Source organism: Homo sapiens, chromosome X (genome assembly GCF_000001405.40).
Source record: "Homo sapiens chromosome X, GRCh38.p14 Primary Assembly".
Taxonomy (NCBI): Eukaryota; Metazoa; Chordata; class Mammalia; order Primates; family Hominidae; genus Homo; species Homo sapiens.
The window spans coordinates 119,565,698-119,584,808 of record NC_000023.11 but is presented as its reverse complement, the minus strand read 5'-3'; the positions used below and the strand labels follow the sequence as shown (position 1 = coordinate 119,584,808).

Genomic DNA, 19,111 nt, shown 5'->3' with positions numbered 1-19,111 from the left:
AGGGGCATGCCACCACGCCTGGCTAATTTCTTTTTGTATTTTTAGCAGAGACAGGGTTTCACTGTGTTAGCCAGGATGGTTGATCTTCTGACCTCGTGATCTGCCCGCCCTGGCCTCCCAAAGTGCTGGGATTACAGGCGTGAACCACTGTGCCCGGCAACATATTCTGTTAATATATTTAAAAAGCATTACCACTTATGACTGGAAAGAAAAAAAAAGTTCTCTCCAGAAGTATCTGTCTTGTCTTTTCCCCTCCCAGAATGAGTATTTTTGCTTTTACCTTAATGTTTGAGGGGGGAAATGAGTACATATGAGATCCCAATAAGAAACCAATACAAAAAGTTTATACTGAGCTAAAAAAAAAAAAAAAAAGATACCTTGACTATGAAATTTTAAGGTTATTTTTATTTACAACTTTTGAAAAATGTACATTTTTTTTTACATGGGTTACTTGTGCAAAGTTAGATTTGGAAGTGATAAATGCATAAAAGGTGACAATAGAACATTAGACAAAACATTTACAAGCCTTGTCCCATACTGCTACTTAAAGGTACTATATATCTAAAAGTATAAATATCCAAAAAAAGATCGCAGACATTGGCTTTAAGGTTCTCAGATGCTGAAAGGGAAGAAATTAAAGCATGCAGCAATAACTCAGGATTTGAGTGGAAAATAGTTTGCCACAGATATGCTATGCTCCCTTCCTTGAATTCATTAAAACTCTAAAATAAAGATGGACAATTGAGTTTATTCACTTAGGGCAGCACTGATCCTTTAAAAAGATTAAAGGAGCTCCAACTTTCCCTAGCTCAAAAACTCACGATTGTTTCCATTCCTCTGCTCCCACACCTCTTTTAAAAAGCAAAAACCCAGAAGACCAATAATTCTGAAACTTGGCATGAGTGTGCCCAGTCAGCAGCTTGCAAAGAGAGGATGTGTCAGTTACTACAATTGCTGTACTCCTTTAGCTGAGTCCTTCAACTTTCTCCTTCTTGCCAGTAAATACTACGTTGTAATTCATATGACTGAGATCTTAGTATCACAGGATTTTTAGCTCCCATGCCTCCTTCAAAATTGTTTACATGGATTTGTTTCTATTCTCTGTAGGCCATATTCCAAACACATTCACTTCTAAATCCAACACAAGTGAAGGACCAGCCAGGATGAAACACTTCAGCAATCATTTTGTTAAAAATAACATCCTGGTCATCAAGCTAAGCATAAGCACCTCTTGTATAACAATTCATCTTAAAAGCTTAAAGTACAATAATAAAAATAACTGCCTGAAAACTGGAAATGAAATACAACAGAAAAACTGAAGCATTAGTAATTTTTGCAAGTAACCCAGGTACAGTACATTTGATTTCATAGAGGGTGTTTTCTGATGTTTAAGGAGAGGGTAGAAGGGGTAGGAAAACTTGGCAAGGAAGATGGAAACAGCACAACAGTTATTTTGCTTTTAATAAAGTAAATGTAATGACAGGAGTAGGGAGGTGACAAACACATCAATATATATTTTTCTTATGGCCAGCTTCTTTAAACTGTACCCGGGGTCAACAATCACGCCAGCTTTGTTCTACTATTGCAGAAACACGCTTTTCATATTCCCGTTTGTTCTCCTGGTACAGCTGAGCAGCCTGGCTGTTTGCTGGACTATTGGGATTGGGTTCATCCAACAGAGACTAAAGAGACAATTTTTAAAATGTCAGTTCCTTAATGCAAAACAACTATTTTATAAGGTAGTGACACTCAATTGAATTGTCCTAAGTACAGCTACATTTCTTGTCTTTAGCATACAAACCCAGAGTTATGTGAATCTGCTAGTAGCTAGGAAAATATATGCGGCTTTTTTTTTTTTTAAGGGAGAAGAGTCTCACTATGTTGCCCAGGCTGGTCTCAAACTCCTGAACTCAAGCAATCCTCCCACCTTGGCCTGCCAAAGTGCTGAGGTTACAGGTGTGAGCGACTGTACCCAGCTGACTTGGGTCTTAATGGTCTACTTTTCATCTATAAAACAAACAAGCTTTGACCAAAAATAAAAAGATCTATTACATTATGACTTTCAAAAACAATTCAATTGCTAATATAAACATATTAAAAGTTATAGTTCGTCACATTAAGGAAAAATTCACCTGTATGGATGTTAGAATGGAAGACACATCATAGGTTGGACTCCAACGGTTCTGAAGTATGTCCAGACATATACTACCATCTGCATAGACTAAGAACAAAGAAGTAGGTACATTAAACGTAACAAGACCACTAAGGTTTTAACATTATAGACAAAACAAAAATAGTCAAGAATACTTTGCTTTTGAAGTTTAAAGATTCCTATGTTGCTTCCCAGTTAACTGCCTAAAAAGATAAGTCATAACCACCACTAGTGAAATAATCAGGATGATCAGAGAATGTCAGATGTGATCAGTATAAAACTGGAAGATATTTAGTGTTCATCCTTTGGAAAAGGCTGCCCTATTATCCAGGAAATCAGAAACATTTTTGAACAGGGTCCCTAGCTATCCACAGACATGTGGGAAATTCATTCCACCAAATTTGTAGGCTGTATCCCCTATCTGAAATAACAAAAGATCACTCAGAGTTCACAAGATTTCATTTTGGCATAAAGATAAACATATCTGATACCCTGAAAAATACTTCATTAACCTAAATAAAAGGCAAGCTGTTCTAGGCTTACTACTATTTTAAAAAGTGCAAAGTGGTTAAGTTAGAATCACCTGTGGTGCTTTTCTGACAATACCGTATGCCTGGCCTTCAACAACAGAATCCTATTCATTAGGTTTGGAGTGGGGCGAAGGCATCTGTGTTTTTAAAATGTTCCACAGTAATTCTGATATGCGTCCAATGAAAACTACTTTTCTAAACGCTAGTGAAAATAATTACAACACAAGACTATCCCAATCTGGCCTAGCATTAAAAGGAAACCTCAAGAGCATCCTTCATTTTGTTTAATAAGTAAATGACAAAGGTCATCAAAATCAGGAGGCTCCCAGACTCCAAGCAAAGGGAAAATACCTCCACTGCTTCAGTTCTAGGACAAGACAGCCACAGACAACCAAGAACAAGTTCAGCTTTCAAGAAGCAGCAAGCTGCCTAAACAAATACTCAGGCACCACAAAATACACAGGAAATGTGGAATACTCCATAATAAACACTATAGTAGTTTAAAACACTGTACTAAAAGTGATACTTGCCATTTGGATGGAACATCTTAGAGACAAATCTAACTGTAGGTGGTTTATTTGGATATTCTTCAGTGAATTCTATTGTAAGTTTAAATGTTCCTGTGGTTAGAAAAGAAAGATTTAAGAAAATGTATTTATCACTTTGTTCAGTAGTACTTTGTTTTTAATGCTATGTGGGTTTTTCCAAGTATTAAATAATGCAAAGATACAGGGTAGAGAGGAAAGGCCAGGTAAGAAATACATCTCTAGGAATTGCTCTAAGAACTACTCAAATGTGATTTTTTGTTTTGCCATTATTTTCCCCCAAACTTGGAGACAGCCATCATAAACACAAAATTACTGCTTACAAGATTTTAGCCACTGTACATTTTGAAAACATCCTTAAGAAACTGGGCCCAAAATTTGGCCTTCTTCCTTTAGAAGACCAAAAGACCTCAAAGGCCTATGTTAGTCAGCTGCCATCTTAAACGCTCCAGTGATTTTTAGACAGACTAGAAAGAATGAAAGCACAATGGTTCAAAAACCAATGCCAGAATACAAATCCATAATCAAGTTATTTTTAAAATAGAAGGGAATAAGTATAAAAGTGTTCATACTGGTTCCTTTTCATGTCATAGTGACCCTATAATGAAAACTTAATTGAATTTAAGCCAGGAAAAACTTCATAGTCCCTCTCAGAAACCCTTAAGTATGGCTCATAAGGTACTTCACTATAAAATCAACTCAATTATTCACACATATGGAGGGAATTAATGGCAGAAATAATTTTAAAATCACATTTGGTTTAGATTGCATTCATGTTTCCAGCAAATTTATTTTTCTAATGTTTATGCTACTATTGAAATGAAATTATTTTTCTTAAATATATGTCAACCTAAGGTAGCAGGAGGCCCTAAAGCATAGTAGGTTATAAACTTACTTACAAGGCATGGACAAACTGGATCTCATTCAAGAATTGTTAAGATGTGATATGAAGAGATTATGTCCTTTAAAATATTATTTTCAATTGTTTGTTGAATAAATTGAAGAACACAATTGAGCAATGTTTTTTCCTGACTGAAATCTGTTCAAGTAAACTTAGAAGAATCAGTTACTATATGGTATAAGGTGATGCATGTTCCACTATATTACTCTGGTCCATTTAACAAATTATTCTAAAACAACAGACCATACTTCAGTGTATTTCTTACTGGTTCCTTCAGAGTTAGCAATTTATTTCCTTTTTGTTCTCATTAAAAGGTTTATCACTGCTTAAGAAAGAGAGAAGACTATAATCATTCTAGGACTAGATCTGTGACAAAACAGTATCAAAAAGTTTGTTTTTAGCAAGCTCATTGGAAACAATTTGCTAACAAAGCTGCCCTTACTATGAACAAGTGTCTCAAAGCTTCAAAATAATATAAAATGCAACATACAGAGACATTATATTCCTCAAATTATTGTTACTCCCTATTTTCTTTTCAAAGCCAGACCTGAAGATACTATGTATTATAACTAAGAAAGTAAAATCTTATGGAATGGACAAACATATGCCCATTAGAAGTATGGAAGTATGTCCATCAGAACATACTTCACCTTTATCACCACCTGGTCATAAATCTTCCTCTTTCTGAGGAAGAAAGCACAGTTCTTCCTTTTCAGTATTTATTGACACTATAATATGCAAGAAAAAGTGGGAATGTGTTAGAGTTCAAAACTTTGAGTTTCCTTATGTATTATGATCTCAAGTGTAAACACATTTGGATCAATGTTGCAATCTGACTAAATTATGGGTAAGAGACACTGCTCTAAAACTGGGCAGATGTAATAGCACATGGAGATCCCAGCTACTTCAAAACCATCACTAAATATGGTATCTAAAGGTAGTAAAGCAAGACATAGGGAAGCCATAAGCAAAAACAGTAAAACACACTGCTAAGAGCATGAGCTCTGCAGTCAGACAGGTCTGGGCCCAAGTCCTTGCTTTGGTACTTACTAGCTGTGAGACTTTGGGGAAGGTGTTCTCCTTGACTAAACCTTAAGTTCCTCATTTGTAAAATGAGATTAATCATAGTACCCACCATATAGCATTGTTGTGAGGTTTAAATGAGAGGAATATGCATAGTTCCACAAAGTTAAGTGCTCCAAAACCATGAGCAACTATTTTTGCTATAATAATTCTAAAGTTTCACATCTCTAGACTCAGCTGAAGGAGGCAAAACCCAAAAATCAGAACTATCAGTAAGAAATATACAATTAAGGCATTCAGATATTAAACAGTACTTTTAGGTCTACATCAAACACTCACAGTTCAAAGCAAGTTGAGTACCTATATTGGTGGCTCACAAGTTCCTTGACTTGAGCTTTCTGCATACACTTGCCCAGAAGTTCAACTAAGTGATTACCTAGCTACCAAAGAAGTTAATCGCAAGTCTTTTAAAACAGTTCACTTAATATCTTGAGAAGTGAAGCAACCTATTTATGTCTACTTGAATATAAATTAAGACAACCCAAATCTTATTCAAGGTACACATTAAAAAGAGGGTAAAAACTTCACACTTTTAGTCACACTAATCAGAACCTGTTTAGTATAACCTTCAATGTAATTTCTAAGCTCTAAAACAAATGTTAAGGGAATTTAAAATCCCAGAATTAGTATTATGCAGTCTTGAGACTACAGCTTACCCTCTGAATATTTAGAAGGCTAGGCTTTAAAATAACTGAAAATTTAAGCCTCACCATTGTTGTACATAATGTATACTAATTTTGTTCATCTTCCCGAGGAGGCTAAGACATCGTAAGGAAAGTATCAATTAATCCATCTATACAGGGAGACCACCAAAATTACATAAACGTGTTAAGTGACTGGTGTATGGCAATAAGGAGTGATATGGTTGAACTAGAGGGGGTATATGTTCTGCCTAAAGACACTCACAAAGTCAAGTTTTGGAAAATACTGTGTTGGCCAAAGAAAACACACCTGCAGGTGTTTTCTGCCATTTGGCCACCAGTTTGTGACCCCTGAGAAGAAAGCAAAATACATATAACTTCAAAATTATTTTTGATGACTGAAAATCGATTTTTCAAGTAATATCCAAAACTCTTCATCATAGGATTTATTTATATTTAAAACACTCTTAGTGGACTTTAGAGATTCATTTTGAAAAAGATTTTATGACTCAGAAACATTTCCAAAAATTAAAAAAAAATAAAAACGATTTATACCCCAATTCTAAAGAACACATCTATTATGAAAAGCAAATACCAGTACCTTACCATGTCTATTAACAATTTTTAGATTATGTGATGAAGATTATATTCCATAACCTTTGTATTTAGCATGTATACCAAGATATTCTGATGAGGAAGCATTTCTCCCCAATGTTTTGGTAGTGTAAGCTCTTGAGAATATATTCCTCTTACTTCGAGTGTGTGAAGTTAAACCAAAATACCCTTAAGTGTTGCTTGTCTTAAGATTTCATCACTCTAACTAGGACCTGGTTGTTCCAGAAACTTCCATAACGAACGGTTTACAACAAAGAAGCAAAAGTAGTTTTGGGGTTCTTAATTAATAACATAATACATTGGAAACAGCAAAATCAACTATGCCACTTATCCCTAATCAGTCTTTTCTCTAACTGTAAATTCCCCAACTATAAATAAAGGGTATTCAAAAAATGGTTAAGGCTGGGCACGGCTGCTCATGCCTGTAATCATAGCACTTTGGGAGGCCGAGGTGGGCGGATCACCTCAGGTCAGGAGTTCGAGACCAGCCTGCCCAACATAGTGAAACCCCCTCTTTACTAAAAAATACAAAAATTAGCTGGGCATGGTGGTAGGTGCCTGCAATCCCAGCTACTTGGGAGGCTGAGGCAGAAGAATTGCTTGAACCTGGGAGGCAGAGGCTGCAGTGAGCTGAGCTCGTGCCACTGCACTCCAGCCTGGGTGACAAGAGCAAAACTCCATCTCAAAAAAAAAAAAAAAAAAAAAAGCTAAAATTTTTTTTGTGGGGGAACCACAGGCCACAGTGTTCCAGACACCTGAGGAAGCATCCATCGGTAGCAGACTGTTCAACAGAACAAATCAGCCTGAGTAATTCCTTTCAGTAATGCTAGGATGGAGATACACATCATCAAAAATAGAACCAGTAATGTCAAAGGTGACAGTCCTGGTAGATAATGGACTCTGTAAGTACCTTTTCAATTCATACCACTTAAGAGAAGCACCCTTGAAATATTTAGGTAGCCAATCCCCAGCAAAGTGATGTACTATTAATAAAGCTGTGCCCAGCATAAAACAGAGTAAAACGAGGAAAAAAGAAGCCAATGAAAACAAGGCCTACTAGAGCTAAAGCAAACACAGTTAATCTGTACATTTAAAGCTCAGGTATAAAGAACTAGTGCTCGCCGGGTGCGGTGGCTCAAGCCTGTAGTCCCAGCACTTTGGGAGGCCAAGGCGGGTGGATCCCAAGGTCAGGAGTTTGAGACCAGCCTGGCCAACATGGTGAAACCCCGTCTCTACTAAAGATACAAAAAATTAGCCGGGCGCGGTGTCGCACACCTGTAATCCCAGCTACTCAGGAGGCTGAGGCAGGAGAATCGCTTGAACCTGGGAGGCGGAGGTTGCAGTGAGCCGAGATCACACCATCGCACTCCAGCCTGGGTGACAGGGCGCAACTCCGTCTCAAAAAAACAAAAACAAAAAACAAACAAACAAAAAAACTAGTGCCAATCTGGTAGAAGAAAATTAAGTCTAGCTATAGTTTTTTGCTACAAATCAGTTCAAATGATTAACTGCGCCAAAGTAGTATGCCCTTACAATCACTGTTTCCTGCTGTCATTTCTTTTCTTTGCAGCCCTGAAGAGTAATGATATTTACCCAGGGGGTAAAGGTAAAGAGGAAGCTAAAAATATTCAGGTGACTGTCCACAGTTTCCTGGGGAAATCTAAGTACTTGAGATGAATTACAGACTTAGTTGAAATTGACTTACCTCACAACATTTTGTGGACTGGTAGCATCAAAAAGCAATCCGGCTCAGCAACATAAGTATGTATTAAGTAGTTTGCAGAAATGTTTTTGTTCCCACCTTCAAACTGAAGTGTGTGTGTGTGTGTGTGTGTGTATAAATGCTATGTGACCGAAGGAAATCATTGAGGAAAAAAATAACAGAAAGATCCTTTTCCTTTTTTTTAAAACCTCAAATATTAAAGAATTTCATGAGTTCAAATACTTTAATCATCCTTTAAATGTATTAAACTTTCAAAAAACAACCACACACACACACAACTGAGTGTAGAACTATCAGTGTCATTTTTCCGGTTGTGATAGGGTCTAGTCATTCAAGATGTTACCAAATGGGAGGGTTTGGGTAGAGGACTGGGTTAAGGGTATAAAGGGTGTCTCTATTATTTCTTGCAACTGCATATGAATCTATAATTATCTAAAATCAGAAAGTTTTTAAAAAGCAATTTACACGTGTTTTTAAAAGTTAAACCTAAATCAATTAAAAATTATGTACCTACTGGTACATGTAGTACTTTCAGGTAGGCAGGACACTGATCAAAAGGGTACATTAAGGCTAACTTCAATTGTGAAGCTGCTTTGAAATTACTCATCATAACGTCTTGATGAAAGCACACACTGCAAATTCACTTAAAAATAAGAAAGAATACTGTACTCAAATGAGGCATTTAAGACCATCTTAGAGCAGTGAGGCTGACAGGCATTCAATGTCAGATTGTAGAAACCAGACAGTTGTACGCAAGGGATTCTCGCATCCACTCAACATCCAACACACATCTACCAAGCACCTGCTGAACACAACTCCTGCCCTTGGGGTAGAATTCTGAACCAGATGGTCTCTGGGGTCTCTGCTGCCTATCAGCAACTGGTTGGGTTTATACTAATTCAGTGATGGAGGGCTGAATTTAGCAGAATTACAGCCCAAGCCTCAAAAATCCTTAATACCAGTGCTATGATTGCTCCTTTTAAAAAGTGACTGCCTTACACAGATTTTTTTTTTAAGAAAGCAAGAAGAAAGGTGCAGTTCTAGTCAAGCATACAATATCCAGAACCACCAGCCACACACTGCATTCCACTCAAGCCTTTAGCAGACAGAGGCTAGGCAGAGGCAGGTTCCTAAGCAGGAGACACTTCCAGGATGACTGGGAACCCTTTCCCCAGATGACCAGGCTCCTGAAAAGTGGGTAAAGAAACTCTCTCTTACCATCCTCAAACGGGGTCCCTTCAGGCCTGCAACACAGAGAAAAATGGTCAGTTCCCACTTAAGGGGCCCCCTTCTCCCTGCTTCATCTGAGATGGCTATCCCGAGCTCTGCCATCTCCAGCACCGCTACCGGGGTCGGAAGCCACTACAAATGGATGTCCCGGGCTCAGAGACACAGGGCAAGCCGCCGCGCCTAACCGCCACCACTCCCCGCCCCGCCCCCCTAGAACCCCAAGCGGTTCCCCCTGGCAGCGGGAACTGAGCTAATCGAGGCACAGGCTCCGGGGAGGCGCCTAGGCCCAGCCAGACCCAAACATTTTCCCCTACCCGCTCGGCCTCCGCGGGGGGCCCGCCCCGGAGCGCAGACCGAAGCTGCTCGCGTCCCCAGTTTTCTCGCCACCGCCACGAACGCAGACTCACCCGAAAATGACCGCGTTCCACACCATTATGTTGTTCTCGGACGGAGCCCCGCTGACTCCGGCTGGAGGATCCTCCTGCAACCTTCGGGAAGACAGACAGGGGTCCCCCTAGGCCGGCACTGGCGCCCGCTCCCGGCCGCTCCCCAGCCCTCCCCGCCCGGCGCGCCTCGGGACCCGCCCTGTGCCCCAGCTCGCAACCCCCGGCCTCGGCCGTCCCCTCGGTTTACCTCTTGAAGTCCCGCATGAGGCGCCGCCGAGCCGGGGTGGACATGTCGCGAGCGGGGTCAGGGGTGGGGCATACACTGGGGTCTCGGGTTCCCGCGGCGGGCGAGGAGGCCGAAGAGGCTGGAGAAGCAGGAGAAGGGGAGGCGGAAGCACCCAGAGGAACCGCGCTGCCTCTCCGAAGTCGAGGGTCGGTCTGGCGCCGGCTAAGCACCACCCCAGTGTAGACGGGGGCTGAACCAACCTGAGAGCAGAGAGAGGGGGGTGGAACGTCGAGCGCCGGACAGGCCGTACCAAGACGGGGCGGGGGGTGCGCGAGGAAAGTTGCTTATGTCATTAAAGCCCCACGGGAGGCCCGGGGCGGGGCCGCGAGCGCAGAGGCGTAGGGTACGCCGGAGCCCCGGGCGCTGGAGGAGCTCGTGGTGGAACGGGGTCCATCCCCACCTGCTAATTCTAAGGCAAACCCTGGGAAGTTTTCGGCTTTTTTTCTTTTTCTCTTTTTTTCTTTTTCTATTCGTTTTTGTTTGTTTTGTGACCAGATCATTCATGAAAGCGCGCACTATGCCCGGGGAGGAGAGGGGAGAAGTTTGGAAGTCCCAAACTAGAGGACGAAGGAGTGGGCGGAGGTAAAACCGGTTCTCAAAAAGCGGCAACTCTAGGGTGCACAACCCCTTCGGACACCGGAGACTGGGGTCGGAGGGGTGGGGAGAGGAGTGATTGGTTAAAATCACGGAAAATCAAAAGAATAAATCGGCCTTGACTATGACGGGGGGGCGGGGCGGGGCTGTGGGATTGAATGCAGGATTGGGCGCTCAACGTTTAGGCCAATGATCACCCCAGGGCAGAATGAAATAGTGTTGTATGTCCTGTGGGAGGGAATGGGAGCTTAAGGCAGGCGGAGTAGGGTTTTGTTTTGTTCTGTTTTGTTTTGGGCACTCACAATTTGGCTCTGGAACCACATTTCCCCTTGGTAGTTCAACAAGCCAAGCGGCTATTTATGTTCAGAAGAGTCCAAGATATGAGACTATCCGACTGCAGGGAGTTGCAAGGACAGTGGGTCTGAAGTAAAAGGAACGTGGAAAAGCTGCAGGTTGCAGGAAGAGTCACAGTCCGTGGACCTGCAAAAGCAATAACAGTTTTAAAGGATAATTTTTAAAGGTCAACCCAAAATAACTTAGAAGATAGGCATAATACACATTTAAAAATTATTGAAAATAGGAGAAAGGTAGATTTGGGTTAAGTCATCAAGAGTTTTGAATGCCAAGCTAATGGATTCCTTGGAAGTCCATTGAGCAGGGAAGTGACATCATTAGAGCTGTCCTTATCAGAGATTGGTCTCAAGAGAGCAGGCAGGAGACTCTTGCAGTATCTAGGTGCGAGATACTGAAGCAGGCAGTGACAATAAAGGCGAGGATATGAATGAATGGGGAGGACTTGGCAACAGGCTGAATATGGGGCAAGAGAGAGGAAGGAGTCAACAGTGGCTGAAACTCTAAGCCCCGAGATAACTGGGGTTTTGAAGGTGCCATTAACAGAATTACAGAATAGAGAGAGAGGGACAAGTTTGGAAAAGGAAATTTTGGGTGGGACTTACTGAGTTCATGGGACTGGTGAGACATCCCCGTGAAGATGTCCAGAAGATATCAGATGTGCAGGAATTTGTTTCTAACATGAGAAGCAGGAGGCACTTGACAATGGTAGTGATTCTAGCTGCTGCTTAACAACAGGTACTTTCATGGTCAAGGATTTCTATCTCCCATTAACTCCAACATATCAGTTAAGGCAAGTCTCCCTAATAGCATCACATTATGGCTGTAGTAGGAAGGGGGTACAAAAATTAAAAAAAAAAAACTTTTTTTCCTCTCATCTAAGAACTTGCAGTCTACTAACACACACATACACACATATGAAATCAACAAAAGCAAGATCTACAAAAGCAAGTATATTCGTTTTCATCACTGCTTAACAAATTACAAGTTGTTGGCCAAGCCCAGTTCATTGCAGTTGTAGGACTTTGGTCCCTATTTCCTTACTAGCTGCCACCTGGGAACTACTCTCAGCTCCTAGAGGCCGCCTGCATTCCTTGCCAAGTGGCCTACTCCATCTTCAAAGTCATCAACAGAGAATTTCTCTCCCACCACATCCCTCTCACTCTTTGAATCTTGTTTTCAGGAAGAGCACAGTCTACTTTAAAGGCTTATCAGATTATGTCAGGCCCACCCCATGGATAATTTCCCTATGTTAAAAACATCTAAGTTGGGACCTTTATTATGTCTGCTAAATTTTTTCACTGCAGAACCTAGATTAGTATTTCATTTAATAACTGGGAGAAAGTGTGTGTATATACCAAGGACCAAGAATCTCAGGGGAGGGTAGCATCTTAGAAGTCTGCCTACGACAGCAACAGCAGAACCAGAACGGTTTCAGATTTCCTTTTTTTTTTTTTTTTTTTTTCAGATTTTGGAATTATTTGCATTATAAAAGTTTCAGGTTTTGGAGCATTTCGGATTTTAGATTTTCAGATTTGAGATCCTCAACTTGTAGAAGTGTGTGAAACCACAGATGCTGAGAGATTGCACAGCAGAGGAATCGTCATTCTGGTGGGATCAGGACAAGCTTCCTGAAATGGGTGTATTTCAATTTTGTTTCAACAGAGATGAAAGCGGAGCTTGAGAGAGAAGAACTTAAGCAGTTTATATGGGGGCAATGGCACAGACAAGGGCATGGAGCTAAACCCGTGGGCAGATGAGCTTGGCTAATGGACAGGTTCTTGGCTGGGGAATGATGAGACCTCAGCTAGGAAAAGTGAGGGTGACAGAAGTTGATTAAATGCCCTCAAATGCGAGAATGGGGAATTTAGGCAGCTTTTATAGGTGTTTGAGCATGAGAGAGATGTATTGAAAATATCCTGGCCGGGCGCGGTGTCTCACACCTGTAATCCCAGCACTTTGGGAGGCCAAGGCAGGTGGATCACGAGGTCAGGAGATCAAGACCATCCTGGCTAACATGGTGAAACCCCGTCTCCACTAAAAATACAAAAAATTCTCCGGGCGTGGTGGTGGGCGCCTGTAGTCCCAGCTACTCTGGAGGCTGAGGCAGGAGAATGGCGTGAGCCCGGGAGGTGGAGCTTGCAGTGAGCAGAGATCGCGCCACTGCACTCCAGCCTGGGCGACAGAGCAAGACTCCATCTCAAAAAAAAAAAAGAAAAAAAAGAAAAAAAAGAAAATATCCTTTTGAGGCCAGGCATGGTGGCTCACGCCTATAATCCCAGCACTTGGGAGGCCGAGGCAGGTAGATCACCTGAGGTCAGGAGTTCAAGACTAACCTGGCCAACATGAGGTAACCCCATCTCTACTAAAAATACAAAAAAATTAGCTGGGCGTGGTGGTGAGGACCTGTAGTTCGAGCTACTCGGGAGGCTGAGACAGAAGAATCGCTGGAACCCAGGAGGCGGAGGTTGCAGTGAGCGGAGGTCATGCCACTACACTCCAGCCTGGGCGACACGACCAGACAAAAAAAAAAGAGAAAGAAAAAGAAAATACCCTATTAAGAAGCGGCATGTACCGTACTAAAAAGTATGAAAGGGACTGAGAAGCTCCTGCTACTGGATATACATGTCTGAAATTTATTGAAGGATATAGATGTATGTAAGTTTGTTGTGAGCTTGTCTGTTTTTTGAAACCCCCTTTCTCTTCCTTTCTTGGACTTTCTTCCTTTCAAGAAAACTAAGGGCTGGGCTCAGTGGCTCAAGCCTGCAATCCCAGCACTTGGGGAGGCCAAGTGGATCACCTGAGGTCAGGAGTTTGAGACCAGCCTGACCAACATGGAGAAACCCCGTCTCTACTAAAAATACAAAATTAACCGGGCATGGTGGTGCATGCCTATAATCCCAGCTATTCCAGAGGCTGAAGCAGGAGAATTGCTTGAACCCGGGAGGCGGAGGTTACAGGGAGCTGAGATCGCACCATTGCACTCCAGCCTGGGCAACAAGAGCGAAACTCCGTCTCAGAAAACAAAACACAAACAAACAAACAAAAAAACTCAGGAGCATGACCCAAATGGTTGGAAGCCCCCTGGCACCTGCATGGGAGTAGCATTCTCTGACTAAGGAATGAAACTGCATTGCAGGAACACCGTGCCCCCACATTCCTCAGCAGAAGCAGGGTTGTCATAGCAAGCAGCAATACAGAAGATTGTTTTCCAGCATGATGATTATCAGGCTAGAACATACTAACTTTAGCACAGTTTGGCCAAGCATTCTTTCTACCCTTTTTTCACCTTGACATCTTGAAGAAATACCCTCTTCACAGCCAAGCACCACCCCTACCCAAGAGCAGGGGTCCAGAAAGGATAAGTCTCCTCAATTTAAAGAAAAGTGGGCTGGGCACAGTGGCTCATGCCTGTAATCCCAGCATTTTGGGAGGTGGAGGTGGGAGGATCGCTTGAAGTGAGGAGTTTGAGATCAGTCTGGGCAAAAATGCAAGACTTGTCTCAAAAAAACCAAAAAAATTGTGAAATTTCATTCATGAAGATTTCAACATGAAAAATAGATTTTTATTTTCCTGAAGTATTTTGGGTTAGGAGAAGAGACGAAATTAAAGATCATTTCTTGCCTTATCAGGCTGTAAGTTTGTATTTCTGTTATCCAGTGAAGGCAAAGGACTTTTACTTTCCTACGGTTTTCACCTCTGTTGATAAAATTTAGTACAAACAGCAACAAAGCACCAACAGAAAATAAAATCGAAAGGTCTTTCTTGACTCAAATAATCTCAGAAAATATTTCAAGAGAATTACTTTTAGGAAGTAACAGTTAGCAAAGTGTGTGCTCTTGCTCTTGACAACTTGTAGTATGTTGTTCATCTTCAGCCTCTAGGACATAAGTGGTGGGGGGAAGAGAGAGAGACAAAGAGGTTGGGATGGAGGGAGGGGAATATCAAAGCTGAGGGAAATGGGGAAATTAAGGCCTTGAAAATGGGATTTCAGGCCAGGCACAGTGGCTCACGCCTGTAATCCGAGCACTTTGGGAGGCCGAGGCGGGTGGATCACCCGAAGTCAGGAGTTTGAGACCAGCCTGGCCAGCATGGCGAAACCCCGTCTCTACTAAAAATACAAAAAAATTAGCTAAGCGTGGTGGTGCGTGCCTGTAATCCCAGCTACCTGGAAGGCTGAGGCAGGAGAATCGCTGGAACCTGGGAGGCAGAGGCTGCAGTGAGCCGAGATCACGCCACTACACTCCAGCCTGGGTGACAGAGCCAGACTCCGTCTCAAAAAAAAAAAAGGATTTCACTACCTGCTAAATTACTGAATCAAAGAAAACAAAGGCATGGTGTGGTATGCTGAATAATGCACAACCCTGCCCCCTCCGCCCCCCCAGCCAGATCTCCATTTCCTTATCTCTGTAACTGGTGAATATGTTACCTTACATGGCAAAAGGGACTTTGCAGATGTGATTAAATTAAGAATCTTGACATGGGGATATTATCCTGGATTAAAGGGGTGGGCCTGAGGCAATCAAACCAGTCCTTATACGAGGGATGAAGTAGGAGTCAAAGAGGAGGCCATGTGATGACTGAAGCAGAGATTGGAGTGATGTGGCCACCAGGGAAGGAGCCAAAGTATGTCTGCAGTAGGAGTTGGAAGAGGCAAAAGATGGAAGCCTGAAGCCCCCAGAAGCAATCAGACCTGCTGACACCTTGACTTTAGACCACTGATATTGGTTTTGGACTTCTGATGTCCAAAACTCTAAGATAATACATTTGTGTTGTCTTAAGCCACCAAGTTTGTGGTAACTTGTTACAGCAGTAATATGAAACTAATACACATGTCTACCATGTTGTACATGGGAATTCAATCAAACCAGCCACATCCATCAGACCAGGGCTCAGCAAACTGCAGCCAAATCTAACCTGCCATTATTTGTCTATGGCCTACAAACTAAGAATGGCTTTCTATATTCTTAAACGGTTGAAAAAAGTCAAAAGATTTAATAATATTATAATGTACATCAATGTTACCAGACTAAGCATTCATCACAATATTCCCAACTCAGAGGAGAGCAATGGCTAGTAAAATTTAAAATTTTAAGTAGAATATCTTATTATGGCAAAATTCATAATAAAACTAAAAAATAGGCCAGGCGCATTGGCTCATGCCTGTAATCCCAGCACTTTGGGAGGCTGAGGTGTGTGAATCATGAGGTCAGGAGTTCCAGGCCAGCTTGGCCAACATGGGAAAACCCCATCTCGGCCGGGCGTGGGGGATCACGCCTGTAATCCCAGCACTTTGGGAGGCCGAGGTGGGCGGATCACGAGGTCAGGAGATCGAGACCATCCTGTCTAACACAGTGAAACTTCATCTCTACTAAAAATACAAAAAATTTGCCGGGCGTGGTGGCGGGCGCCTGTAGTCCCAGCTACTCGGGAGGCTGAGGCAGGAGAATGGCGCGAACCCGGGAGGCGGAGCTTGCAGTGAGCCGAGATCGCACCACTGCACTCCAGCCTGGGCGACAGAGCGAGACTCCGTCTCAAAAAAAAAAAAAAAGAAAAAAAAAAAAAGAAAACCCCATCTCTACCAAAAATACAAAAAGTAGCTGAGTGTGGTGGCGCATGCCTGTAATCCCAGCTACTCAGGGGGCTGAGGCAGGAGAATTGCTTGAACCTGGGAGGTGGAGGTTGCAGTGAGCCGAGATCACGCCACCGCCCTCCAGCCTGGGCGAGAGAGCGAGACTCCATCCCCCGCCCCCCCCAAAAAGGAAAAAATAAAAATAAGCCTATAGTCAAAGTAAGTTTCTGAGTGGCTCCTTTGTTAGCCAACCAAGGAAAGTCATTTACTGATACTGAGCTAAATTGTGTTTGGCTGCAGAAGTCAAAGAAATAGGCTCAAGAAAAATAAAACTTGTGAAGACTATTCACCTTTCAGCAAGAACAGTGGCTCTAAGAGTTGAGGACATTGAAATCAACATCAAAACAAAAACAAACAAACAAAAAAGGGCAAGGCACGGTGGCTCACACCTGTAATCTCAGCACTTTGAAAGCCTGCAGCAGAAGGATTGCTTGAGCCCAACAGTTCAAGACTACCCTGGGCAACACAGCAAGACCTTGTCTCTACAAAAAAATTAAAAAAAAAATAGCCGATGTGGTGGTGTGCATGTGTGGTCCCAGCTACTAGGGAGGCTAAGGTGGGAGGATCACTTGAGCCCAGGAGTTTGAGGCTGCAGTGAGCTGTGATCATGCCACTGCACTCCAGCCTGGGTGACAGAGCAAGACCCTGTCTCAAAAACAAAAACAAAAACAAAGCAAATGATTTCAAGTGGTTTTCCTTGGCTCCTGATGAATGTTTACCAATATTACTCAGTTGTTGTTTTTTACTCAAGGAGTCAATGTTGACTTTAAAGTGACTGAAGAATTGGACCGGGCGTGGTGGCTCACGCCTGTAATCTCAGCACTTTGGGAGGCCGATGTGGGCAGATCACTTGAGGTGAGGAGTTTGAGATCAGCCTGACCAACATGGTGAAACCCTGCCTCTACTAAAAATACAAAAAAAAAAAAAAAAAAAAAAATTAGCCAGGCATGGTGGCATGTGCCTGTAATCCCAGTTACTCAGGAGGCTGAGGCAGGAGAGTTGATTGAACCTGGGCGGTGGAGGTTGCAGTGAGCCAAGATTGTGCCACTGCACTCCAGCCAGCCTGGGTGACAGAGCCAGACTCTGTCTCAAAAAAAAAAAAAAAAAAAAAAATTGGCCTGGGTGTATGGTCTTGTGTGGAACAACTGCAGATGAGAGTATTTCAAAGAAGTCAGGAAAACACTAATTCAATTCAGTCTAAAGCATAATTTGCTAAGATGTATTACAAATATGTATGGAGCAGAAAAGGTTTAGACAAATGTACAATACTTGTCAAAATGTAAGTTGTTTAAAATCCTGTAGTTATTAATTGTATTATTAAACAGCAGGTACTTTGCAACAAACAAACAAACAAACTTGAATCTGTCTTGTGTTATTCTTGACAGTAGTGTCAACAGTGAAGTTCAGCTGGGCGCGGTGGCTCACACCTGTAATCCCAGCACTTTGGGAGACCAAGGTGGGTGGATCACGAGGTCAGGAGTTCAAGATTTTAGAAAATTTGAATTTGAATTTGAATTCAAAATTTTAGAAAATTTTCTAAATGAGAAGAACCCCACCCTTGACCACTATTATTGAACATGAATAGTTTTAAAAAATGGCTTTTGCCATAGACTTAGTAATGTTCCTTAATGAATTTAACCTAAAATTACAAGGCAAAACAGTGTTTATACCTGAAACCTGTACTGCAGTAAAGTCATTCAATGACATCCCACATTGTTTGAATCACAAACAGTGTCAAGGTGCTTTAATCACTTCTCGTGCTGTCAAAAGTTAAAAATCCAGATTTATATTCCCACACAAATTTGCGGTGGAAGTATTCTTGTACATGAATGTTCATAGCAGCATTATCTATATAATAACCAAAAAGTGAAAACATCCCCGTTGTCTGCCAATTGATGAATGAACAAAATGTGATATATCCATATGATGAAATATTATTCAACCATAAAAAGGAAAGAAGTACTGTAACATGGATGAACCTTGAAAACATTATGGTAAATGAAAGAAGCCAGACAAATGGCCACATATTGTAGGATTCCATTTATATGAAATGTCCAGAATAGGCAAATCCATAGAGATAAAAAGTAGATTAGTGGTTGCCGTGGGCTGGGAAGGTGGGGGATGTGCGGGTCGTGGTGACTACTAATGGGTATAAGATTTCTTTTTGAGATGATGGAAATGTTCTGGAATTAGTGGTGATGGTTACACAACTTTGTGAATACACTAAAAAACACCCAATTACACATTTTAAAAGGGTGAATTTTATGTTACGTGAATTATATCAACTAAAAAATAAGATACCTAAAAAATTATGTACTCATCTGGAATAGTCATTAAAATCACAATCATATTTAGAAACACACCCAAATCAGTATCATATATATATATATATATATATAATATAAACTATATAATGCATAGTCCTTTATTTAGCTGGTCTTA

At 41.7% G+C, this 19,111-nt stretch overlaps 1 protein-coding gene and 1 long non-coding RNA gene across 4 annotated transcripts, besides 4 other annotated features; one reads left to right on the top strand and one right to left on the bottom strand.

Moving 5' to 3' along the window:
* Positions 386-10,246, bottom strand: UBE2A (ubiquitin conjugating enzyme E2 A). Of its 3 annotated transcripts, none has more exons than NM_003336.4 (6): positions 10,054-10,246; positions 9,828-9,908; positions 9,409-9,434; positions 3,213-3,302; positions 2,133-2,221; positions 386-1,682 (listed from the first exon to the last, which is right to left on the bottom strand). In NM_003336.4, the coding sequence occupies exons 1-6, from the start codon at positions 10,095-10,097 to the stop codon at positions 1,554-1,556; spliced, it is 459 nt and encodes a 152-aa protein (NP_003327.2). In that variant the 5' UTR covers positions 10,098-10,246; the 3' UTR covers positions 386-1,553. The 3 variants fall into 3 exon arrangements, with proteins under 3 accessions (NP_003327.2, NP_001269090.1, NP_861427.1); NM_001282161.2 differs by having other exon boundaries at positions 9,828-9,901; NM_181762.3 differs by lacking the exon at positions 3,213-3,302.
* Positions 9,473-9,973: an enhancer, noted in NCBI's record as "H3K27ac hESC enhancer chrX:118708799-118709299 (GRCh37/hg19 assembly coordinates)". NCBI's record gives its function as "activates a minimal SCP1, AML or CMV promoter by ChIP-STARR-seq in naive H9 embryonic stem cells {active_cell/tissue: H9 hESC(naive)}" and the evidence as "EXISTENCE:reporter gene assay evidence [ECO:0000049][PMID:30033119]".
* Positions 9,473-10,015: a biological region, named in NCBI's record as "H3K27ac hESC enhancer GRCh37_chrX:118708799-118709299".
* Positions 9,846-10,015: a silencer, noted in NCBI's record as "silent region_20960". NCBI's record gives its function as "represses an Ori minimal core promoter by ATAC-STARR-seq in GM12878 lymphoblastoid cells {active_cell/tissue: GM12878}" and the evidence as "EXISTENCE:reporter gene assay evidence [ECO:0000049][PMID:35858748]".
* Positions 9,974-10,474: an enhancer, noted in NCBI's record as "H3K27ac hESC enhancer chrX:118708298-118708798 (GRCh37/hg19 assembly coordinates)". NCBI's record gives its function as "activates a minimal SCP1, AML or CMV promoter by ChIP-STARR-seq in naive H9 embryonic stem cells {active_cell/tissue: H9 hESC(naive)}" and the evidence as "EXISTENCE:reporter gene assay evidence [ECO:0000049][PMID:30033119]".
* On the top strand, positions 10,314-14,820 carry LOC124905208 (uncharacterized). Its single transcript, XR_007068307.1, has 2 exons — positions 10,314-10,674; positions 12,506-14,820. It is a non-coding gene; the product is annotated as an uncharacterized LOC124905208 (long non-coding RNA).

Coding starts and splice junctions, on each gene's coding strand:
- UBE2A (NM_003336.4), bottom strand. CDS start 10,097: ATGTCCACCCCGGCTCGGCGGCGCCTCATGCGGGACTTCAAGAG. Junction 9,435..9,827: donor TGGAACGCGGTCATTTTCGG/GTGAGTCTGCGT, acceptor TCTGTGTTGCAG/GCCTGAAGGGACCCCGTTTG. Junction 2,222..3,212: donor TAAGATGTTCCATCCAAATG/GCAAGTATCACT, acceptor CTTTGTTCTTAG/TCTATGCAGATGGTAGTATA.